We start from the raw sequence: 25,044 nt of genomic DNA on the forward strand, positions 1-25,044 counted from the left end.
GGGGGGAAAGGAGAGCGTGCAATGGCTCTGCCCAAACCAATCATCACCATGAGGGGACACAGGCACACAAAGGTACATTTTCAATCTTTTATTTTTTCAAAAACAGCTAGCAATCCAGATTTTTATCCAAAATCTCCTTTGTAAATATAGGCAATTGATGAAAAAAAAAATTAAAAAACAATGAAGCCACATGGGCTAAACCAAACACACCTGTAGACTGCCAGTTTGTCCCCTCTCATAGGTAGGATGGGGTGACTGAATTCTGGGGAGCACGTTCAGAGGTCGCTATCTTTCTCTGCTTCTCCCCAGAGAGGTCTTCCTAGGCTGCCTCTCAGACACACAGCACCAGCCAGAGGGCAAGGACCAACTGATAAGCCAGGAAGTGTGGCTCCCATCACTTTGAGGAGGGAATCAGGAACTCTTTGGAAACCCCTGCTGTACACCTTGCTGGTGCCATTTCCCAAATATTTGTGGTTCACCCCTCGGCTTTCAGTGTCTCTTTCCTTCTCTGCCTCCCCACCCAGGGCTAACTCCTCTCCTTCCTGAAGACTCTGTTCAAGCATCAGCTCCTCCAAAGAGCTGCCCACTAAGCAGTGCCCCTCCCTCCAGCCCCTGGGCTGGGAGGCTTCCCGGCACCTGGCATATCATGCACTCTGCATGCCCACACACAACTTCCAGGCACTTGATTGACCCTCACTAGCAGGGAGCTCCTCAAGAGAAGGGCTGGTTCTCTTCCATCCCTGTTATCCCTGCAGCCAGCGCAGATCTTGGAACACAGAGCAGCTCCACACAGAACTGAACCAGCAACTTCTCCAGGAGCAAATGTTTTCTGAGCACTGGCCTATACCAGGTGCATGCGAAGGGTGCATAAGGCCACTGAGATGAATTTGACATATCCAGGGGCTTCAGAGGATCACAGTCTCTTGGGTCTGACAGATGTTTAAGAAATCCCCATCATGTAGAGTACCCACAGCCCACCCCCCTACTCCGCCCCGCCACAGCCACCCTCCTCCCATCCTTCCTGGGTCTTGGCCACACTTGCTCTTCCTTCTGCCTGCAACATGGCCCTTTCCTGAAATCTGCTCCAAACTCCCCTTAACAAAGAGCTTTCTCTCCATGCACCCTCCATAGCACTATTTTTTCCCATTCCCTGTTTCATTTGTGCTTGTGCACTTATGGCCACCTGGCTTCTCCTGTTTCCCTATTTGTCCTGTCTGTGGTCTGTCTCCACTACTAGACCTAACCCAATGAGGGCAGGGCCTGCATCTGCTTCGTTTTCTGCAGTATGCCCGGTGCAGAGGACAGCGCCTGACCCATGGTAGGTGCACAGTAAACAGTGGTTACCCGAATGAATTTAAGAATGAGAAAGTAAGATACGTTCCAAAAGCTCTGCATGCTGCAAAGGCCTCTGAGCCTCTATATGCTGAGAGGCAGCTGGACCTCTGCCTCCTCCTTTGCACGGTGGGCAGAGCACCTGCAGAACTTTCCACTTCTCATGCCTCATCATGTGTCTGGGCTCCGGCTCCGGTGCTGCAAAGCAGGTGAAGGGCCCCCTGTGCAAGTGTAAGAGGCTAAAACGGGGGTGCCTGTGTGAGCGGCTGGTGTGGGGTGGGCACCTGCCGGTGTACGGGAGACTGAAGGGTGGAGAGGGCCTCTCATGCAGGCATGTGTGAGCAGCTGCAGGTGTGTGAGCAAATGTGCATCACTGGGGAACAGGTGTCTGTGGATGAGGGAGGAAGTGAGGGTGAGGGTGTTTGTGGACATAGGGATGTGTGTTTTTTACAAAAAAAAAAAAAACAAAAGGTGAGGGGAAGCCGGCCTGCATACATGTGCATGCATGTGAACATGCGTGTGTGAATGTGGGGAAGGGCGCATTGGTGAAAAAGGTGCTGGTGCTTTTTCTCCCTGATGCAAACTCAGGCTGGAGAGACTGGGACTAGGCAGACCCTACCCTTGGCACTCCAGGAAGAGTTCCTCCCTCTATGAAGAGCTGCCTGACCTCATTCAAGGTGTACAGAAAGAAAGCAGTGTCACCGGAACCCAGGCCTCCACCATAAATGGGCCAGAGGCAATTCCACAGCAGTAACCGGGCAGGCAAAACCACCCCTGGAAAACACAAGCTGACACGAAGGATGAGCCTCTCAGGCCCCCTGGGCGTGGGGTCCCTGGAATCCCTCTGTCCCTGGCTCCTAGTGATTTTACACCAAGGCTGAACACATAGATTTGAGGCACCAGTGCAGTGCAGGACATGGGCGTGTTATTACCAGCTCCATGGTTAATGAGCATTGCATCCACTGGGAGCAGCCAGGCTGGGGATGCTAAGACCTGCTGGGTGGTTCTGCTGAGTTGGGGCTCATGGGGCAAGAAGGCCAGTTTCTGCCAGCCCCTCCCAGCAGCAGTGAGACAAGGACACAGACACTGAAGGGCCCGTGTTCTCAGCCTCTCCCCCTCCGACTCCTGCCCATCTTCCTGGTCACATCTCCTCCCACCGTCTGCCTTGCTTGCTGAGTCCATGCATTTGTTCATTTCCCCATTCAACAAGGAGGTATCAAGCACCACTATTTCCCAGGCACATTCCTAGGGTGTAGAACTGAAAAACACAGGTAAAGTACTGCCTCCATGCAACAGACATTGTAGTTGAGGAAACAGGCGATAAGCCAAACTGATAAGAGAAATATAAGGTGTGTTAAGACAAATATAAGATGGTGACAAATGCCCCAGAGAAAATAATAAAATAGGGAAGGGAGGCAGGAAGAGGGGCCGTTAATCAGGGTAGCCAAGGAAACTCTCCAGCAGCCAGCCTCGTTCCCTCCCCAGAGGCTTCACAGCTGCTGTTCCACACACCTGAAGTACTGTTCCCTCAAAGATCCCCCATAGTTTCCTTTTCCAGGCAAGTTGATCTTGTTCCACTCATTGGCCACTTCCTTAGAAAGACCCTCCCTGGCCAACTACATAAAACAGGTTCCCCATTGCACTCACATCACTATCCCCTTAGCCTGTTTCATATTCTAAAACCAGTTCTCATTATCTGAAGTTAGTTTATTATTTATTTACTATGTTTCTGCCTCCCCCAGTGAAATATGAGGTCTCAAAGGAGAGAGGATGTGTGTCTTGCTGACCACTATATCTTCAGCACCCAGAACAGGCCAACACATGGCAGGCCCTGGGACTGAAATTTCATAGTCCACTTCTTGTTCCTTTGGGTTAAGCAATGCCCTCCCCCAGCATCCATTTAAAAATACTCTCAGGCAAGTGATACATGAAGTCATGAACACTCTAGTATGAATCCGTCACTTCTCTCTAGGGGCTGCTCAGAAATCTAGGAGCACGTGTTAGTACTGAGGGAAGGGGACAGGGCCGAAGGAAGAAGCCCACAGGCTGCCTGCCCAAGCACAGGACTGGAAGGGAGGAGGCCTGGGTGTGGTGCCAGCTCTGTCCCCAGCTTCTGGGTAACCTCTCTAAGCATCCGTTTCTTCATGACTTAGAGCTGAGAGGGAGCTCTTGGTCACCTATGCTTTGGGGACTCCAGCGGGGAGGAAATGAGTCAATTAGGAGGACATGAAGTTGGCTGCCTCCTCACTTTGCCATCAAAGACAATAGGTCTATGTTCTGATCCCTGCCTCAGACAAAATGGAGAAAACCCAAAGATAGTGGGAAGCCGCCTGCACTGTATGAATGCACGCTTGGAGAAGACTGTCTCCCTGCTGCCCAGCACCCACTGTCCACGCATGGTTACTATTAGAAAGTTAATCATGGAAAATGCTGAGGTCTCTTTCCCCAGCCCTGCACCTCTCAGCTCCACACTACAATTTCATCTTCCATATAGTGTTACCAGACAGTGCCATTGGCTCCGTCCACTCACTTGTCCCAGGCCTTTATGACCTTTCCATTCAAGCCACACACCACGTCTGCTCCACAGAGCTGTAAGACACACTGGCTTCAGCCCGCCTGGCCTGGGCCAGCACGCTGACATTTTCCATGAGTCCACATCAGCCAGTGAAATGCTCAGAGGGGATTAAGGCAACCTTCTCCATCACCCCCGAGTTGCTTTAGGAAAGAGAATAACAGCACTGACCCCTCCATTGGCAGCTGGTGATATCCACACACCATCTCTATCCAGAGATGAAAGGCTCCTTCTCCATCCTTGACTTGCAAAACAGGGATTATTTCCCACCTCACGCTTTCTGAAATATCACCAAAGATGCAGCTGTGTTTGAAGGCCAGCCTCATAAAAGGCGTAGGACCCACGTGTCAGTCAACACTCCACTGAGAAGATAATTGATTTTTTTTTTGTTTTATGATTATTTGCGGGCACTGGTTCTCTTTCCATTAGCCTGGATAATCGAGGGAAGACTGTAAAGAGTATTAATATCACGGCCAAGGTCACTCAGCTGGCTCCTGCTGCCATTCCAACCCAAAGGCTGAATTACTATGGCTTTTACTAATAATAACAAGAACAATAAATAACATGAGTGATTATAAAGCCAGGGAACTCTGCAATTACCTCAACAATTAACACATCCCTTCGTGAAACACAGAACAGAAAAAATTTTCAAAGGTTCAAGTTAGAAAACTTCTGCATTCTGTTTGGTGCAAGTGACAGTCAGAAAAGGGCCTTGTTTGAGGGTATGCAGTGTGAGAGTATGCAGTGTGAGGGTATACATGAGGTCTGCAGTATGCAGTGCAGTGTGAGGGTATGCAGTGTGAGGTGTGCAGTATGCAGCGTGAGGGTATGCAGTGTGAGGTCTGGGGTATGCAGTGTGAGGGTGTGCAGTGTGAGGTCTGGCATATGCAGTGTGAGGGCTGGGGTATGCAGTGTGAGGGTGTGCAGTGTGAGGGTGTGCAGTGTGAGGGTGTGCAGTGTGAGGTCTGGAGTATGCAGTGTGAGGGTGTGCAGTGTGAGGTCCGGGGTATGCAGTGTGAGGGTGTGCAGTGTGAGGTCTGGCATATGCAGTGTGAGGGCTGGGGTATGCAGTGTGAGGGTGTGCAGTGTGAGGTCTGGGGTATGCAGTGTGAGGGTATGCAGTGTGAGGTCTGGGGTGTGCAGTGTGAGGTCTGGGATATGTGGTGTGAGGGTATGCAGTGTGAGGGTGTGCAGTGTGAGGGTATCCAGTGTGAGGTCTGGGGTATGCAATGTGAGGTCTGGGGCTGGCTCCAGTTGGTTTCCAACTTTACCAGGTGTGTGGCCCGGGCAAGTCACTTCATCTCAGCAGGTTCCTGCACATAGGGGCTGGTGAGGACTCAAGGATAAGGCACACTAAAGGGCTTGGCACAGTGACCAGCAGGTAGCAGCACTCTCTAAGTATTAGCTGCCATTGTTGTCTTTATCATTAATGTAACTACATCTTAATTAGGAATGATGGGATCTCATTTGGCCCCCACACCAATCCAGGAATTGAGATGAGAATAGTGTTTCCTCTACCATCCATCAGCCAATATCCAGCAGCCACCCCAGGGGAGGCCACTGGTCATCCCACGCCATATAAAGTTCACTGCCCCTGGATGGTAGGCTCACCCCAAGCCTGCTCCCTCATCCTCATTCCCATCCTCAACAGAGAGGAAAGTCCACCACTGTCTCCATTTTAAAGAGGCAGCCTGTGACATCCAAGAGACCTTCCAGCCTCAGGGAAAGGCGTGAACAAGAGCTCCAGCTGGGTCTTTACAGATGAAGCCCCACTTTGGTACCTCTTCTCCTAACAACCCCAGCTTTTGGAAGACATCAAAATTCCAAAGGCTCAGCTGCAGAAAGATCTTCCAAATTTCTCATTATAGTTATTCCCTGAAAGGCCAAGAGCTTTATTCTTCATCCATTTACTCAACACTTTCATGGAGCAACTGCTACGACGTGTCAGCCTCTGCAGGAGGCAGCTTTAAACTAAGTGTGACAGATGAGAAAGAACCATAACACACAAAGCAGGGAGAACAGTGATTCCAGCCAAAGAAAACAGCATGTGCAAAGGCCCTGAGGTGCATAAAATTTGGCATGTTCTCTGTGGATAGGGTTCTAAATCATGTCCAGGACAGGGGGACACCTTTGTGTCACCCTCATCTGAAAGCAACCTTTAAGAAGCCACAGGACAGACTGTCTTCAACTCAGAAAACCTCCCTGATACCCATCTTCCATCCTCCACCCCTACATTCTCACTCTTGTCTGGTTTCCTCAGTTACCATCCTGGTGCCTAATTTCTGGTGGCAGCAAAGTGCAAGATTAGAGGCCCACACACTAGTGCCCGGAAGCTTGGGCTTCAATCCCAGATCCGCCAATTATGGCTTCAGTGGTTTGGGGCAAGTGATTTAACTGCCTCTCTGTGCCTCAGTTTCCTCATCTGTAAACCATGGATAACAGAGAACCTCTTTGGAGATCTGCTGTAAGGATCGGACAAGTAAAAAGAAGTGAGGCTCTTGGATAAATAAATATCTAAGGCACATAGAAGTTCCCTGAAAATGTGGGCATTATCAATATTTATTTTAAGCATCATCATTTTTCTTATTATATTCCCTTTCTCCATCTGGTCCCTTGAGAGTGATGACTCGGTTGAATGAATGACACCCACCCCAGTTTCTCACCCCATCTCCCAACACCAGGATCCTTTTGCCTAGTGGGTGGTTATCACTTAGATGTGCCCATCCCCAAACCTCACTTGATATAGTGATTTCTGGAGACCCTAAGAGGACTCAGGGACCAGGCACGGTGGCTCATGCCTGTAATCCCAGCACTTTGGGAGGTCGAGGCAGGTAGATCACCTGAGGTCAGGAGTTTCAGACCAGCCTGGCCAACATGGCAAAACCTATCTCTACTAAAAATACAAAAATTAGCCAGGCGTGGTGGCAGGTCCCTGTAATCCCAGCTGCTCAGGAGGCTGAGGCAGGAGAATCACTTGAACCCAGGAGGCGGAGGTTGCAGTGAGCCAAGATCATGTCACTGCACTACTCCAGCCTGGGTGACAGAGCAAGACTCCATCTCAAAATAAATAAATAAATAAATAAATAAATAAGACTCAGGGGACTTCCTGCACATTCCCATGAGCCATGAGCCATCTCCAACACCTTGGGGCAGAGTAGGGGACTCTATGACTCCACTGGGGAAGGGGTCCTGCAATGGGGCCTGAGATGTGCTTTCCCCCAGCTGACACTCTTTTCCTTATTTAACTTTTTCAAAAACTCCCCCAAATGTTTTGCCTTTTCATTTGCCTCGCCTCCTCCTTAACACTCTCCACCTGCCCCAAAATCCCCAGTAGTTTCAAAATTGAATAACTGTCGGGAACAGCATTTAAAGATGCTAATTTAAACACACGTGTCAGAAAAGGCAAGCTGGATCCCTGCTCCTAGCAACAGCCCCTCACCCACACCTCACAGCTGCTGCTGCCCAGAAACAGGGCTTGCTTGAGTGAGCTGGCAGGGGGGCCGGATACAGGGAAGCAGAGTTGTGGGACCTAGCTCTGAGCCTGCTTCTGGCCTTTCCCCTTGGATGGAGGTCTTTATCCTTGCAGGGCAGCCTTCAAAGGTGCAAACTCTGCCAAGCTGCCAATTCCTCAAGAAAGGGGTCTTGGGGCAACCAATGGTTTAAGTAAACCCATTGTATCACATTTTGAACATACAGAACTGCTAACACAGAGACCTCTAATTTCCTTTAATAAACCCAAACTCTTCCATTTGAGTAAGCTTCATACATTAAATAGCAACACCTACTGTTAAAGCATAACAAGTCTCCTTTCCATTTTTCACATCATAAATGTAAGTTTGGGTCCCATCAAGGGGCAGATTCCTCTAAGTGCCAATGTAAAGTGCCCCCTCCTCTATGTAGTCCTCCTGAATGACCCTCCATGCCACAGGTGGGAGTGGTCTTTTCCTCCCCTGAACTCTCTCATGCTCTTCCCAGCTATCTTTCATTGTAGCAAGATCTTGGTCAAGCTCATGCATAGCTTATCTCCACTTCTAGACTGGGACATCCTTAAGAACAGAAGCTATGTCTTACTCAACCTTGGACGTGCCCCCCCCCCTTGCAATCACACCACAGAACCGCATAGTAGGTGCTTAATAAATAGTTATAAATTATTAACATCAGTCACCTTGGAGCTCTCCAATTTAAAGAAACAGTTTTTTAAAAATATGTATAGTAAGTAGACACTGCCCCAATAGTTGGTCCCATTGGTAAATATAGCTTTTCATGTGTTGGGTTTGCTTCAAATGGAGGTATAAAAACACACAGAAAGACCAAGACAGAAGCTAAAACATAGGGAATGCAAGCCTGGTAACCTCTACCTGGGAGAGAAATTTGCCCAACTGGGCAATGTGCAGGCAAGGCTGATGTCAAGGGAAGATGCTGGAGAAGAGAAATGCTACTGAAAGAGCACGCAAGTGCCTTTGCATCTCCAGGTAAGTGCTTATTTCAAGAAAGTGTAAAGCAGCTATGTTTCTTGATTTGGATGTTAGTTCCATGGGTGTGTTCAGTTTTGAATATGCATATACTTTGTGGTGTGTTCAAGTTTTAGTATCATATTATATAGTTCAACTTGAAAAGTAAAAATATTTGTGGGATCTAAAAAATCAAATTAGAGTAGAAAGAGAGTTACCAGAGGCTGGGAAGGGGAGTGGCGGATTGGAGGGGAGGCAGGATGGTTAATGGATACAAAAAAATAGAAAGAATGAATAACACCTACTATCTGATAACATAATAGGGTGACTATAGTCAATAATAACTTAATTGTATATTTTAAAATAACTTAAAGAATGTAACTGGATTGTTTGTAACTCAAAGGATAAATGCTTGAGGAGATGAATATTCACTCTCCATGATGTGCTTATTTCACATTGCATGCCTGTATCAAAACATCTCATGGGCTCCATAAATCTACACACCTACTATGTAACCCACAAATTGTTTTAAATAATTTAAAAGCTTTTTTAAAATAAATGACTAAACAATATTTCTCACATGGAAACTTATCCTCGATGTCCAAGTGAAGTTATTGTGAGAATAGGGGTTGTGGTGCAAAAATTCACTCTCTAGAGAACACAGCTGTTACCACCTATAAAGAAAGCGAGGTCTCCACTCACAAAGGAAAGCAGCAGGAGTATGTGAGATGTCGAAGGAGAACGTGGAATGCCTAAGTAATAAAACAGACACAGAAAACTTTCCATCCCCACGGTAAGAGAAGCTTTGGCAGAGTTTGCTCTTCAGCCTCAGACCAACAGAGCTCCAGCATCCAAATGCTGAAGAAGCCAAGAATGTGCAAACTATGCTCTCTCAGAATAATAAGAAGAAGAATATTCCCTTCTCCTCTGGGACTCTTCAAATGTTTTGAAGTTTCTGACACTCTCAAAAACATGCAGAAACCGCAGCCTGAATTTAGAAACCTCAGCATGGTGGTATGTGTGGTATGAGTTCCAAATTCTCGACAGCCCTAGAAACCTGTTTCTAGAGGAGAAATGAAAATACCAGGCACACTGATGCAGCTTGTGGGTTGCTTTATTGCTTTATTTAGGGTGGCAGCTCGGGACTGAGGGACCTGGGTCTCATTATCTATCAGCTACCTCCCCACTCACATTTTCTGCAATTGACATCATGCACAATGAGAGCCACCTAGCTGGTAAGAGAAGGCTCTAAAGACTACTCAGAGGGTTATGCGGGAGGGAAGAGGAGGAAATAATATGAGCCCATCCACTTCCTCTAAACACTGGGGTCGAGGGCTGTCATGGATCACCTGCACGGATATGATCCCCGGCCTCCCTCAGCACCAGCAGGCTAAGCCGCTGTCACTGCCTGACCCCCTAACCCAGTCAATACCCAACCATCAAGATCACAGTCCTCAAATGAGCTCACTTTCAGTAAGGTACCGTGTTCGATTTTTCTTTGGACAATTTTATCTGGACGATATCTACCATGACTTAATTTTGTAGCCAATGTATACACATTAAAATAAGATGAAAACAATACTTTCTGGACCTCATGCAGTTCTAATTAATATAATTCCATATGGATTTATGGATACCAGTTGTGTTCTAGACACTGTTGTAAGTCCTTGGAATCAGGCAGTAAGAATATGAAAAAAGAGACCAAAATGAGAATTATCTCCAGAAGAGAAAGCACATCCAGCCTGGAATATGTCCTTACAGGTTGGAACCCGTTCTCTTCCAGATGCCTTGAGGCTTCTTTAACTTTACTCTTTCTCATAACCACCCAGAAAGTGCAGGGTTGGAGACTCAATGGTTGATCAATACATTTATTGAATGAAAATGACAGGCCCTACAAGTAGTTTCTGGAAGCCCTGCCAACATTTTCCCACCCTGGGTTCTGGTACTGCTCCCAGGCTGTGTGGCATTGACTAGAGTGCTTCAACGGCCCACTGGCCCCACACAGCTGGTGCCTGGGGCCCAGGGTGGATCCATGAGTTTGGGCAACTCCTCCTCATTCCTGGAGCTCAGTTTCTTCATGTGTAAAATGAAAGGATTGAAGAAGATTGTCTCTAATTTCCCTTCCAAGTTCTAGCATTCTGTGATGCCATGTGCACCCCAGTTAAGTGAGAACTGCCCTTTGCTATTCATGGAGGCAAAAGATGTCACCCTCCTCCTCGTTACTAACATGGCCCCATCTTGTCCAGGTTCCCACTCCTTCTCCACAGTGTCTTGCACCTCAGATAAACTGACCCCATTCCCTCACCAGCTGGTGGGTCCTGTCTAGTTTACATCAGGGCATTCCCATTCTATTGACACTGACTGATTTGGAGCCAGGCAAGTGGCCTGGTTTTGGTCAATGAGAAAAATGGGAGAAGTATCGGGGGCTTTGGAGAAAGATTTTCTCTATATATAAAGTCCTCACCAGAAGAGATGGTCCCTGCCTTGACTCTGGACATTGCCATGTCCAGATGTGATGTCCAGAACCACTGCAGCTATCTTGCGGCCATGAGAGAAATCAGACTTGGTATAAAGCTGTCACTAAGGACAGTAGGGTGAAGAAAAGAAAGGGCCCAGGGCCTCATCCACATCACTGAACCACTGATCCATCCATAGTGGAGCCTTTCCTCCCCCAACTCTGTTCTCTTATGGGAGATACATTTCCTTACTGTCTAAGCCAATTTGAGTCAGTGTTCTTGATCATTAGTAATCAAAAGCATCTAACTAATGTAGTGGACCCCCAATTTGGAAAGAATGAAAATATTCTGAAACACTCAACACTAAAACTACTGTACACAGTTGAATCTTTCTAATGTCTGAGAAAATGCTCTACAACACTATCTGGATGGAGGTTACCCTTTCAAATAAATGCCTGACATCCTTTCTTTCTCAAAAGCCAATAGCATCCAGATATTTGCACTTTTCGGTTGCTTGGTTTCTAGACAAATGTTAGTGGCCCGATCATTCCTACAAGAAATGGCACTGACTTGCCCTTCTCCATGGAGACGATGAGCACAGCCATGAACTCAATTCAAAGAGCAGCAGAAGAGTCAAAAGTGGCACCTTGAAACTGAATTCTCTGTTGTGTTGATTTTCTGAGCTTTCAAAGTGTTATTCATTTTTTTCTACCTGTGAATGAATCCTTGATTTCTCAATCTGCCTACTCGCTGAGATAGATTTCAGCAAAATAACAGTAGACATGGGTTTCCTTCTCCTCTCTCTCTCTCTCTCTTCCCCCTCTCCAACTTCCCATCCTCCCTCTCCATATCTCCCCCTCTCTAATTCACCAAGGTAACAAAAGAAACAATAATTAAGTCAATGAGCATGCTCGCATGTGCAACAAAAAATACCTCTCTTATTACATTGCCATTTCCTTTTCAAATCCTTTGGGGGCATTGTGTACAAATATAGTAAACAGCATTAGAGGGAAATAATGCCGACACATACTTCTGGGAGCTCGTCATGTCCCTTTAAGACAAGGCCCACTGTTCAGTTCCATTCTAGGCCACAGCTCGGGTTTCAAGCCCAAGGTCCCCTTACTGCCTCATGCAGTATTAATATGGCCCTGGCATACTCCCAAATTTACATTATGAACCATAATCTGGGCCAGCTCCCACAGGACGAACTGGCTTGGGGCTCCCCTCTTCATTTCCCCAGAGGGCCTTCTCCCCATCCATAGCCAGGCCACCCCCTTCCCCAGGGATCCCCCACTTTCAGCCTCAGCCAGGGGAACACACAAGTGCTTTTCAACAAGTAGTTAATTCCCTAGCATGGAGTATCATCTGTGGGGGCTGCTTACACAATGGCAGAGGAATTGCGCTGTCCTGCAGGCAGTCACAGGGGGAGAGGGGAAGAAGGCACTCTCAGACATTAGAGCCAGAGCCAACTCAGGGTCACTTCTGTGGCAGGCCTGAAAGCACCACCAGGATGTCCAGGCCAGGAGGTCCCATGGGCATACCCAGATCTGCTGAAGGAGGCCTCTCTGTCTCTTCTCTGTGTCTCTTCCTCTCTCTCTCCCCAGTTATAACCAGAAGGCAGGTGCAATTTCTAGAAGAGCCCATAAACCATTTCCATTTATTAAAAGAGAAAGAAAGAGAGAGAGCGAGAGAGAGGTGAGGCTGGTGGGGAGTGAGGAGGAGGCACAAGGAAGGAGTGCAGAGGGGAGGCAAGGCAAGGAAAGAACACAGGGTGGAGGGTGGCTGAGTGGGCCCTGGTGCAGCCCTCATCCCCAGGGGCTGGCTCGGGCTCCATGCTGTGCGCACAGCCTCCAACCACCATCAGGAGGCTACAGGCTCCATCCAGGATGTTGTCTATGGGACTCCTGTCTCTGAGGCACCATGGGGTGTGTTGGGGAGAGACTGCACTCTGGACAGCCTGTCTGGGTTCAATTCCCAGACCCTCTACTCACAAGCTGTGTGACCTTGGGTATGATGCTTAACCACTCTGTGCCTGCATCTCCTCATCTGAAAACCAGGACCAAGAAGAGTGCCCACCACCTGGGGTTGCTTGTGAGGATGGAAAACAGGACCTGGCACAAGGTGTCTAGCCCATGCCTCAGAGCTTGCACCCAACAGAGCAAGTAACAAGGTCAAGGCAACAACAGAGGGTGGACCTGAAACACATCCTCAAGAATCCAGCAATTTCCTCAATAAGTTAAACACAGCATTACCATAGGATCTAGCAATCCCATTCCTAGGCATATACCCCAAATCAAACACAGGCCTGGCACAGTGGTTCATGCCTGTAATCCCAGTACTTTGGGAGGCCGAGGCAGGCAGATCACCTGAGGTCAGGAGTTTGAGACCAGCCTGGCCAACATGGTGAAACCCTGTCTCTACTAAAAATACAAAAAATTAGCCGGGTGTGATGGCGGATACCTGTAATCCCAGCAACTCGGGAGGCTGAGGCAGGAGAATCGCTTGAACCAGGAGGCAGAGGTTGCAGTGAGCTGAGATTGTGTCACTGCACTCCAGCCTGGGTGACAGAGTGAGAGCCCATCTCAAAAAAAAAAAAAAAGAAAAGAAAAGATACCAACAAAAGCTCGTACACAAGTGTTCATAGCAGCACTATTCACAATAGCCAAAGGCGGAAACAACACAGATGTCCATCAACTGATGTATGAATAAGAAAAATGTGGTGTGGCCATGCACAGAACTAAAGGAACGGAGTACTGCTGCATGCCACAACACAGGTGAACCTCAAGAACATTATGCTAAGTGGAAGAAGCCGGACACAAAAGGCCACATATCCTATCATTCTACTCATAGGAAATATCCAAATAGGCCTCAAGAAGCAGCAAGCAGATCACAGGTTCTCAGGCTGGATGGAGGAGAGAACGGCAGTGACTCCCCATTGGTCCAGGGTTTCCATCTGCAGTGCTGGACGGTTCTGGAAGTAAGTAGCACAGATGGTTGAACAGAATTCTGGTTGTATACTTAAAATCTCACAATGGTCAATTTTATAGTGTGTATATTTTACCATAATAATAAAAAAAAAGAATTCAGAAAGGGCACAGCACTCAGACTCTTCTCCCCTGAGTCCTCTCACGTGGTGAAGAGCCAGGCAAAAGGGTTGAGGGCATTGTTGTTATGCACTAAGTTCCCCCACTGTGTTCCTGCCCTCCCCTCTTTTTCCCCCTGCACCACTCTGCCTGTGGTTTCCCAGCTCACCTCTGGGCCTTTCCTGTGCTATTCCCTCTGCCAGGAGTGCAGCCCCTGCCACCCCAGCACCCTCCCACCTCAGCCAGCCTAGCTCCTCTCAGCCCTTCAAACCCAGCTCAGCCCCTGCCTGCTGTAGAAGGCTTTCCCTTGTTAAGATCTCCTCCTCAGGGCTCCCACCTCACTCCCCGGCACCTACCCTTTGTCAAAGCACCATGTTCTGTGCATGCTAGACAGAGCTCCCCACCTCAGCTGTAAGCTTCTTCCATGCAAGGGCCAGATCTAATTTACTCTTATACCCTTAGAGCCGAGCACAGAGAAATTATATAAATAACAAATGAGTTAAAACTACAGACTATTATCTAGAAGTCATGAGATAGGAAAGAAAAATTAGTTATGAAGAAGGGACTCTCAATTCCTAGATAACTTAACCCCATTCTCACCCCTGATCCCAGAACCTCTCCAGGGAAAAGAATGAGGACACCCCAAGCAGAGAGTGACCAGGCCAACCAAGAGCCCCCACGTGGGCCTTTGTCAGGAAAGTCAGGGGCTGAAGAACCATGACATCCTAATCCCAGTTTGGAGTGGACAGCCTGGCCTTGGATTCAGTCTCCGCTACTTTCTTCAAGGGAGCCAAGTACTAGGCTCTCCCCACCTCTTACCTCATTCAAACCTGCAGAGGTAAAAGCCACCTTATAGAGGAGGAAATTGAGACTCCGGGAGGTCAGGCGCATGCCCCGACAACAAAGCTAATAATGTTCAACACCACAGGCATCTGAGGCCAAAACTTGTGACTTTTAAATTCGTTTCCTCTTCCTCCAGCAGTGTCTACATGGTTGCCTCCTCAATCTTCTAACTAACACGAGAAGGCCAGAGACACAGGCAATGCTAAAGGACAGATCCTTGTGGTGCTGGACTAACCCACCGAATGCAGCTGGGTCCTGTTCCAAAAACTCACTTCAAACAATGATGCTATTGACCAGGATAGACAGAGGGACAAGGAAAGAGAGATCCTTGGGGAAAGACACAAAATGATTCATCTCAGCCACTGTGCTCAACTACTTGTGTGGCTTTGAGTAAGTCCAGGTCTCTCTGGGGCTTTTTAATTTTTCCCTTTTGTAAAAAAATTGTCTAAGTCTAACATAAAATGCAGTAAATCATCTCCAAAGTCTCTTCTAGCTCTTAGGTTCTAACACTATTACAACTAACAGCTTCCCCAGAAGGATCTAGAAAAAGTGGCCATCTTGTCCACATTCACTTAGTGCAAGTCACGCCTAGAGCAGACAGCGTTGCCTGTGAGGGTGATGCAGTGCACAAAGCTAAGTCACCATCACCTTTTCTCTGGGAGCTTCTTATACCAATGCCCCAAACATTCCTTGTACCAGGACAGACACAAAGAGAAAGATGCATTTATTCTGCTCCCACCACATGTTCTATAGGAGACCTGTAGTGTAGGTCTCAGTAGTACTCCAAATTCTGTCATTCTCTCCCATCTTCCTGATTTCTGCCCCGCCTGCCTGCCTGCACTAATATTCAGTGCATATTATCCTTGAAATCAACTTGAAATTGTCTCGATTTTTTCAAATTAGCATTGTCCTGGGCAATAATATCTGTGAAATCACGAGCTCTGATGTACTAGTTCTATTTTTCCACAAGTGTATTCAAATACACAACTATAATAAGAAATTCGTCTGTGTCCCTCCTCAAAGCATCTTGCATCCCACCAGCATTGAGGTGTGGCAAAACACAGCAGTAGCTCACTTAGTCTCCACCAGCAAACCTCTTAGGCCAAACAAAGCTGTTTCCTACCATTTTAGAAAAACCGAGACTTGGGGAAGCAAGCGTTCAAGGTGACGCAGCCAGAAAGCACCACGCGGGGCTTCAAACTTGGGTGTGCCTGATTCTAAGTCCCAAGTCTTTGCCGCTCTTGTAAGCATCCAGCTTGTCTACAGCAGATGGGGGTGAATGAAAGTCAAGAGATTGTAAATAATGCCAATGACCTTTATCACCTATTCTACTTAATCCTGTCCTAAGAACTTGACAGCAAGATTTTCCACGATAATCTGAAATGAGAGTAATTCATCTATGCATAAACAAAGCTGACAGCCAGCATACTGAAATGGACAGAAGGAGAGCACTGTATGAGTCCAGACCAGTTAGCTCCCTGGGCAGGTGCCCCTCACCCACGCCAGCAAGGTCAAGGTTTATTCCCACTCCAGGCAACGCTGGGTTCAAGCTGTCCCAGTTCAGAGGCTGTACCACCGACCCTGCCAGCGCTCCTGCAAATGCACAGCTTAGTCACAAGGGACTCCGGCTGTGCATGTGCGTGACTCAGCACACATCCCTCAGCCCTCCAAGGAAAACAATGACAAGAGCACATGGGATCAGCAGTGTCATCCGTGAACACAGAAACACCCGGCCCTTCATGCATAAACCCACCAAAGAAAAGGGCTTCCAACCTAGCCTGGAAAATTCAAGAACTGGAAGGGCTGGTGCTCAAAGTCATCTGGTCTGACCCCTCACAAGACAGCAAGGAAAAACCAGAGCCAAGAAAGAGGCAACAAGGGACTTGCCCACGGGCACTCAGCTGTGTCAGTCCAGGGCTAAAAGGAAGTGCCCCTACAGCTTCCTGCAGAGTCAGCAGCCCCAGGCACAGTACTTCTCTCTGCCCACGTGGCACTGAGGAAATTGCCAATTACAGAGCTATGCCCTAAATTCAGGAATCAATAAAGTGTAAGTGGAGAGCCCAGTTACCCATATGAATTCAACAACAACAAAGAAAAATGAAGAGGAAAACTACCCAGCTCATTATCTCTCTGAAGTGTTTTCCAGTAACAACTCAATACGAATCAGAAATAATCTCCTACGAGAAGCAGCAACTGGGGGGAAAATGCACTGAACTGTGCTTGGAGAAAGAAGGGGCTGGCCATGCATTCCAGCACGATGAGAATCCCCCCGTGTGTCACGCAATATGCCAACTGCAGGAGGATCCCCCAAGCAGGCGTGTGCTAACACGTCATTTGACTCCAACACGAGATGACTTTGAGTTCCCAATGATGTGCGCAAAAGGGACAGATTCTCCCCGCCAGTACAGTGGGCTCTCTGGACCTTCTGACCAAGCCAGGAAGGGAAGAGGTTGGCAGCAGATGAGGGACTGACCAGCGAATGAAAACACAGCGATGCCAGATGCAAAGGACACTCCTTGGGTGGGAAGGAGGTAGGGTTGGTTTATTTTTTCCCAGACTTTTTCACTCATTTAAGCCTGGAGAATACCTCCCTCCAAATTTTATCCAAGAACCAGCCAATGGCCAAACCCCACTCAAAAGAGAAAACATGAACACTAAAATATTCCATGTACTGAATATTTTTAAAGCAAAGTTAGGATTTTCTAGGTTTGTTTCCATGGGGGAAGAGGGTGGTAATTAAATGATTTACAGAAGAATTTTACAACCTCTTCATTTTACAGATAAAGCAAGCAAGACATAAAGAAGCAAATGGTTTTTTCAAAGTAACCCTGATAGTCAATAGCAGAACCAAAACCAGAATGCAAGTGAAAAAATCCAGATTTGCCAAAACCTTCCTATTGGCTCTATGAGAGACTAACTTCTGAGTCCGGGCTATCCTGATGATACTGACAGGGTCCCCAAAAGCTATCATGCCTCTCTGAGTATGTTCTCTTGGCAACCTGAAATCACTCTCTTCCTTAGCTCCTCTACCATCTGTAATTAATTATTCTATAACTTTTATTGAAGACTTTCTCCCCTGCAATAGTAGAAGCTCTACTATTATGCTGGGAACATAATAAATGTTTGAAAATATTTGTAGAGTGAATGCATATGTATTTCTGACATATGAACACTCGTGCATTCAACAAACCAGGGCTGACCATCCAGGGCATGACAGTGCTTTCATCCCTCAGTGTTGCTAACATGCCCAGTGTTGAGACACCCCAACAAGGTCATACTACACATGCAGGGGATTCAACAAGGTCAGACACAACCAGAGCCCCAAGGAGCAGAGTCTACTGGGCAGACTAGCCAACACACAGAAGCGGCTGCATGACACAGGAGAAAGGGCACCCGTGAAGCTGGAGCTCCGGGTCTAGTTTCCCTTCCCTAGTCAATGATTACATGACTTAGGACAAATCATTTAACTTCTCTAGAACTTGTCTGCTTCATTTGCAAACACAAGCCAAACAAGAGGAAGGCAGGCATCCCGGGAGGAGGAACAGTAAATGTTGGAAGTAAAAGCCCTAAGGATCCTAATCTCCTTGAGTACAGGGACCAGTCTTTCTTCCCGCATCCCACCACTCTTCCCCAGATTTGTGTGCCAGGCTCTGCCCCTCCCCCACCTCCATCACTGCCCGGCAAGAGTCACCAAACTCTGACAGCATTATTCTTCCAGCCACTGACCTCCAAATATCCCTCTGATAAAATCAAATCCTAACAAAGGAGGATGAACTCCCCCTGCTTAGGCTTTGTGGGAGAGAACTGCCTGTTGCTCATTGGTAACTCAGGGCAGAAATATCAGAAGGATGAACTGTGGGGAGGCTATAAATGTGTGACTGTTCCTTACCACCTCATGGCCACCTGTACTGTCTCTATAGAGCCAAAGCTCTAAAAGGTACTCATTTGTCTTAGCTCCATGCCTGAATGTTCTACTCCTGATTACAGAGGGAGAACCCTTCCCTCTCTTGCTCCATCTATGCCAAAGCTGGCCCACTATGCTGCTTGGTGCTGGCCTCTAGGCCAGCAGCCCCTGCCAAGGGCACACTTGAGCCAGGCAGCCAGGTAACTCCAGGCCAGGCTTCCCCCTCAGGGCGTTACCAGGCTCCTCCCCAGCTTCTCCCTAGCCTGGCAAACATCCAGCCCTATGCTCATCCCAGAAACCTAAAGATAAAATCATTAGGAAAACTTCTAGCTCAGAGATGATTATTGCTATGTTATTTATAATAGCCAAACAGCAGAAACAGCCTAAATATCCTACACTAGAGAAATTATGGTGCAGCCATACCAAGTAGAATGTAGTCATAAAAAGGGTTTACATAGGAGATGTTTGTTATAGTAACTGGGAGGCAGAAGGCAGCATACAAAATTGGCAGAGGGTACAGTCAGAGCTAAAGAAGTTGAAATAATTTAAAAAATTGGTACAAGCAGGCTTAAAGAAAATGCATCAAACGATAACCAACTGGTGTCCTAGGAAGAAACTAGATACGAGGTCCTTTCTCTATCCACGTTTATGTGTATTTATTATAGCGAAGCATAAACATTACCACTGAAAAGCATCTCATTTTTCCTGAAGGAACCTAATATACTCAGGAAGATCAGGGATTTGGGCATCAAAAGTTCTGGGTTCAAGGTCCAGGTCTATCTATACAATAGGCACAAAAATACAGGTAGATGGAAGGAATAAGATCTAGTGTTCAGTAGCACAACAGAACGACTACAGTTAATAATAATTTACTCTACATTTCAAAATAGCTAAAAGAAAATATTTGAGATGTTCCCAAAACAAAGAAGTGACAAACGTTTGATCAATGTTCTTTCTGTTTCCAGCCTACAATCTATACCTACAACCCACAGCCTACAACCCATACCTACCATTTACAGCTATAACCTACAGCATATAACTACAAACTAAAACCTACACCCTGTACCTCCAACTTATACCCTGCAACCTACAACTGCAATCTATACCATATATACCTACAACCTATAACCCATAATCTACAACCTATATCTACAACCACACCTACAAACTACAGGGATGCTATAAGGGTCGTGGAGATTCACCAAGTGCCAATCTTTACATGAATATGTTATATGAAGGTGGCGCATGAATTATAATTTCTTAAATTCTACACACATGCACACACTCCAGTAGCAACCACACATCAGTTACTAAGCACATCTTAATTCCAGAAGGACGCTCTAACATCCCAAAATACTCCAACCAGGGCTCAAAAGTCAAAAGGTCCCACCATTGACTCCTGTTCATCTACCCCACATATCTCAGGACTCATCAGATTTGGTCCAAGAAGTTTATTCCCCTCCTTCCGAAAAATACGGATGGAAGTAGTTATAATTCAGTTTTTTAAAAGACAGCTATTATCAAAAAGTCTGAAAATAACAAATGCTGGCAAGGAAGTGGAGAACAGGGAACATTCATACACTGTTGGTGGGAATGTAAATTGGTACAGCCACTATGGAAAACAGTATGAAGGTTCCTCAAAAAACTAAAAATAGAATTACCATATGATCCAGCAATTCCACTGCTGGGTATATACCCAAAAGAAAAGCAATCACACAGAAGAGATCTCTTCACTCCTGTATTTATTGCAGCACTCTTCACAATAGCCAAGATACGGAATCAACCTGAGTGTCCATCAATGAACAAATGGATAAAGAAAATGTGGTACATATACACAATGAAATGTTATTCAGCCATACAAAAGAATGGAATTCTGTCCTTTGCAGTAACATGGATGGAACAGGAGGACATTATGTTAAGTGAAATAAGCCAGGCACAGAAAGACAAATATGACATGTCCTTACTCATGTGGAAGCTAAAAAACTATCTCATGGAGCAAGAGAGTAGAATGGTAGTTACCAGAAGCTGGGAAGGGTAGTGGGGAGGGGATATTAAGAGGGATTGGTTGATAGGTGCAAACATACAGGTAGATAGAAGGAATACGATCTAGTGTTCAGTAGCACAACAGGGCAACTGTAGTTAACAAGAATTTATTCTACATTTCAAAATAGCTAGAAGAGAATATGTGGGATGCTCCCAATACAAAGAAATGATAAATGTTTGAGGTGATGGTATCCCAGGTGCCCAGAGTTGATCATTACACATTGTGTGCTCACAGCAAACTATCACAGGGGCCTCATAAATACATAAAACTATTATGTATCCATAAAAATTAAGACAAAGAAAGGAAAATGCACTGGCATGTGTATTTTGCGGAATTATTTGGTTTGGCAACTACTCTTTGTCTAGAGATGGAGTTTAGAATTGTCCCTCAGGTTTGAGGCCACAGTTCCTGGCATCTCGGAGCAGGAGGACGCCAGCATCCTTCTTGTTAGAATCAGACAGCATGGGCTTTCCCAGAGCTTACTTCCTGCTGTGGTCTTTCTTCCCAGTGTTGGGAGAATTCCCTCACTTCACTGATCTTCAATATCCTCATTAGTGACAGTAATGCCAATATTTTTATCATTTAGAATGTGCTAGATACAAAGCTAAGGGCTTCATACCTACGAACTCATCTATTCTGTGCAACAGCCTTACTATGAAAATAACATTAGGTACGTTGACTGCCTCCCCCAGGTAGAGATGAGGAAGTAGAGGCACAAAGAGGTGAGTAACTTACTCAGGTTCCCACAGCTTGTGGGCAGGATGTTGGGGTTGGAATTGGGTACTCTGTCTCCCGCACTCTGATATGTCTGTCAGCTGGAAGCAAAAAGGCCCACTTCAGAAGTCATTGACTAAATTTTAAAAGCCAATGATCTAAACACCATAGTGCACCCTCAATTGGTGTCATCACTGGTCTCCTCCCCAGAGCTGCCAACATCCACACCTTTCTCTCAACAGCCATTTGAACACAGGGAGAACACATGATTCACCACAGCCAATGACTGGGAAAAACCAAACACAAAGCTCACCGCATGGAGTGTGATGTCTTGTGTCCCATTCATTTCCCAGTGATTTGCAGGACCTTGTATGGTGTCTGGGAAAAATGTGTATTGACTTTAGTTCATTTCCTTCGTAGGTTCAGCCTCTTATTATTTTATGTTCATATTTATTTTCCAGAGATAGCCCTAAACACGGGACATCACCAGTTCCAGTGAAATCTCCAGGGGGAGTACATAGAGCCCCAGGACAGACAGGAACTGTGTCACCTAACCCAACACTCCCAAGACTTCTGAATGCTCCTAGAACCAAACTCCTCTTCTGCTCCATTGCTTCCCCTCCACCCCCCTGCTCCTTTAATTTCAGTGACAGGAAATGCCTTCCGTTTGGTCCATCCTATGTCATGCATCACTGTGCCAACTCAGGGGACACATTCTTCAGCCACAAGAACACCACCCCAGCAGAACCACATTGAGCCTACAGTGCCCACACCTTGCTCCAAAAGTCACATCCTTGCCCCCACCCAGGGCCCACCTTCCCCAAACCATGGACAAATGCCAGAACCAGGCCTGAGAAGGGCTCTTTCAGAGTCCAAGACACATGAGCTTCCTTGGAAAGCATCTTCCCTATGGAAATTCCCCCCATGACTGCAGAAAAATTAAAATCACTCAGAATTCTCTATTTCTTCTTAGAGTTTCAGAATTGACTTGAAGACACCTAAAATCCTAATCTCACCAACTCTCCATCTCCTCCTCTGCCTCTAAAGGAAGAAAAAAAAATTTTAAAGAATGGACCTAGCATTGAGAAACAGAGAACAATCTATTATTGTGACTATAACAACTCCTAAGGAGCCATCAGAGTCTCGGTGGCACCGCTGGCCCCATCGTCACCCAAATCATCACAGTGGGCCGTTCGGACTGCAACACGCTGCCTGCTCCTCCCGGCGCACATTCTTCCTGGCTCTCCCTCACTGATTTTTTGGCAGGGCTCAGCAGGAATGGAATGGGCTTCCACGCCCGTTATGATGATGGATGGGCAGGCTGCTGGTGGAGTGGGGCCTTTGGGGAGGCACTGTATACACACGCACATACACACACACTCACATACTCTCACATTCGTATACTCTACACGTACTCTCACACACACTCTCATATTCACATACTCTACACACACACTCACACACATCCACATACTCTCACATTCACATACTCTACACACACTCACACACACCCACATACTCTACATTCACATACACACTCTACACATACTCTAAACACACACACATACACTAGACACACTCATACTCACACATACTCTCATATTCACATACTCTACACACTCACAAACACACATATACTGTCACACTCACATACTCTACACTCACACTGCATACATGTGCTATACCCTACACCCTACACATACCCATACACACTCACACTCAAACTCTTGGCCAGCAGCACCCAGGTGAATCCACTGTGGTCTCGTGGGCCAGGATTCTCCCCAAGATCCTTGGTCGCTGAAGCAGCCCCAAACCCGCTTTGTCTGGGTCTCTTCCAACTCTAGAGCTTTCATTGCCATCATTACCCCCAGCTGGACTTCTGAGTCAACCAGATCTGAGTTAGAATCCCAGCTCCACAGCTTACTAGCTGTGTGGCCTTGGCAAGGTCACCTCTCTGAACCTCAATTTCTTCACGTGTGTCTTGGAGAATGCCAGTACTAAACTCCCAGGCTAATATGGAGTCCTCAACAGCCCAGCTAGATGGTGAGTCCCATCTATGATCCATCAATGGCACCCCCTCCCCCACCTTGGTCCCTCTGCCACAGACTCCATGGATCTCCTTAAAACCTAAGGATATGGAGTTAAAATCTGACCCAACAGAGGGCCTCTATGAACCTGTTCTCGTGCCACAAAAGGCATCTAATCCCATTGCTCCCTGCCTGTGAAGGGCTGGTTGTCAAGACTGATTCAGGGGACAGTGTGTGTGGAGTGGTTAGCACAGGGCTCAGCATGAAGGCTCTGCATAGTAACAGCTGCCTCTGAGGCTAGGAGGCTCCGTACATAGGTCCCCCCTCCTGCTGAGCAGTAACCTGTCTCCTTCATGTCACCACCCACGGTCCTACATCTACCCAAGAGGCTGAACACACTCCAATACAGGCTGGTTGGTCCGGGAGGACCCTAGGGAAGAAGCTGGAGACTCTGAGACTTACACCATTCATAAACCAGCTCCCCCACCCTAGGTAAGAGCATATGTCTCTGAGGAACCCACTTTTCTCTTTTCTGTTCCCTCAAGAGCCTGCAAGGCCATTCTCTTATTTGCCATTCCCAACTTCCCAATGAGCTAGCATGATAGGTACTAACGTTCTGCATTTTAAAGACAAGCAAGCACCTAAGTCAGGTTGCTTGTCCAAGATAATGCAGAGATGGAGATGGGATCAAAACCTATGAGTCATCTCCCAACAACGTATCCACTAAAATACCTGCAATTCTAGTTTTACAGGTAAGAGAATAGACATGGGTGGGATAAGTGAGTGGCCTGGGGATACCCAGATAATGGAGCATGGAGGTGAGGCAGAATTGAGCTTGGGGACCGAAACTCTATCCTCTTAAATGGCAGATTTGGGAGACATTCCCTCAAGAATGAACCCAGCTCTGGCAGGGCCCCTCATCCCCAGGTGTCCCCACCAAATTCCTGGCCCCTGCTATTTTGGAAGTCTATCAGAGATGGGCAACACAGACACTGAGGAGCCACGGGTGAATTCCCAGCCCTAATTTTCTGTTCTGTGCTCAGTCTGTGGGCCCTGGGCTTGGGTATCGCCCTCTCTCTGCAGAGTGTGTGCACCACCCACCAATGCAAATGCTGTTGGCCGCTGGGAGAAAGCAAAGCAAAACTTGCTGCCAGCCCAGCTCTGCTTCGTAATCTGCCCTTTGCATTGCTGGGGAAGCAGTGGGAATACAGTTGCAGCTACCTGATGGTACATCTAAAAAAATAACCAGCTAAAGGGGCCCACAGACTCCCACCTGTCCTCTCCTACCCACCACTCTGGGAGAGCAGCGAAGAGCTGCTGTTTCTTTTTTCTCCCACCCCAAGGAAATCAATATGTTGTGCAAAAACAACTCCTTCCAGCAAAACTCCACTTTACACCTACCTCCATCTGGACCATCCCTTGGAGCATCCCCCTAATTCACCAATAATTCCTCCCAGAATCATCATGATTGATTTCACAGACCTGGGTTGCTGCCTGTCCTGCTATGTCCCAGCCAGGTGGAGCAGAGCAGTCACATCCACACTCAGTCCCCAAAAGCTTTGGATCCAGGGTCACAGCCAAAGAGACACATGCCTAGAACTGGCTTGCAGAGCAATAA

The 25,044-nt window shown here is 47.0% G+C and overlaps 1 protein-coding gene and 1 long non-coding RNA gene across 54 annotated transcripts in view, besides 4 other annotated features; both read right to left on the reverse strand.

Annotated features, from left to right (window-relative positions):
* KCNMA1 (potassium calcium-activated channel subfamily M alpha 1) overlaps positions 1 to 25,044 on the reverse strand; it is a 768,207-nt gene that overhangs the window by 645,612 nt on the left and 97,551 nt on the right. The window lies entirely within an intron of this gene.
* On the reverse strand, positions 1,784 to 22,808 carry LOC124902464 (uncharacterized). The gene is made up of 2 exons (XR_007062205.1): positions 21,713 to 22,808; positions 1,784 to 21,500 (listed from the first exon to the last, which is right to left on the reverse strand). It is a non-coding gene; the product is annotated as an uncharacterized LOC124902464 (long non-coding RNA).
* Positions 15,818 to 16,319: an enhancer, noted in NCBI's record as "H3K4me1 hESC enhancer chr10:79290789-79291290 (GRCh37/hg19 assembly coordinates)". NCBI's record gives its function as "activates a minimal SCP1, AML or CMV promoter by ChIP-STARR-seq in primed H9 embryonic stem cells {active_cell/tissue: H9 hESC(primed)}" and the evidence as "EXISTENCE:reporter gene assay evidence [ECO:0000049][PMID:30033119]".
* Positions 15,818 to 17,306: a biological region, named in NCBI's record as "BRD4-independent group 4 enhancer GRCh37_chr10:79291078-79292277".
* Positions 16,107 to 17,306: an enhancer, noted in NCBI's record as "BRD4-independent group 4 enhancer chr10:79291078-79292277 (GRCh37/hg19 assembly coordinates)". NCBI's record gives its function as "activates an origin of replication core promoter dependent on BRD2, P300/CBP, MED14 and CDK7 cofactors, and independent of BRD4, by STARR-seq in HCT116 cells {active_cell/tissue: HCT116}" and the evidence as "EXISTENCE:reporter gene assay evidence [ECO:0000049][PMID:35650434]".
* Positions 16,320 to 16,819: an enhancer, noted in NCBI's record as "H3K4me1 hESC enhancer chr10:79291291-79291790 (GRCh37/hg19 assembly coordinates)". NCBI's record gives its function as "activates a minimal SCP1, AML or CMV promoter by ChIP-STARR-seq in primed H9 embryonic stem cells {active_cell/tissue: H9 hESC(primed)}" and the evidence as "EXISTENCE:reporter gene assay evidence [ECO:0000049][PMID:30033119]".

This window comes from Homo sapiens, chromosome 10 (assembly GCF_000001405.40).
Source record: "Homo sapiens chromosome 10, GRCh38.p14 Primary Assembly".
NCBI classification, from domain to species: Eukaryota; Metazoa; Chordata; class Mammalia; order Primates; family Hominidae; genus Homo; species Homo sapiens.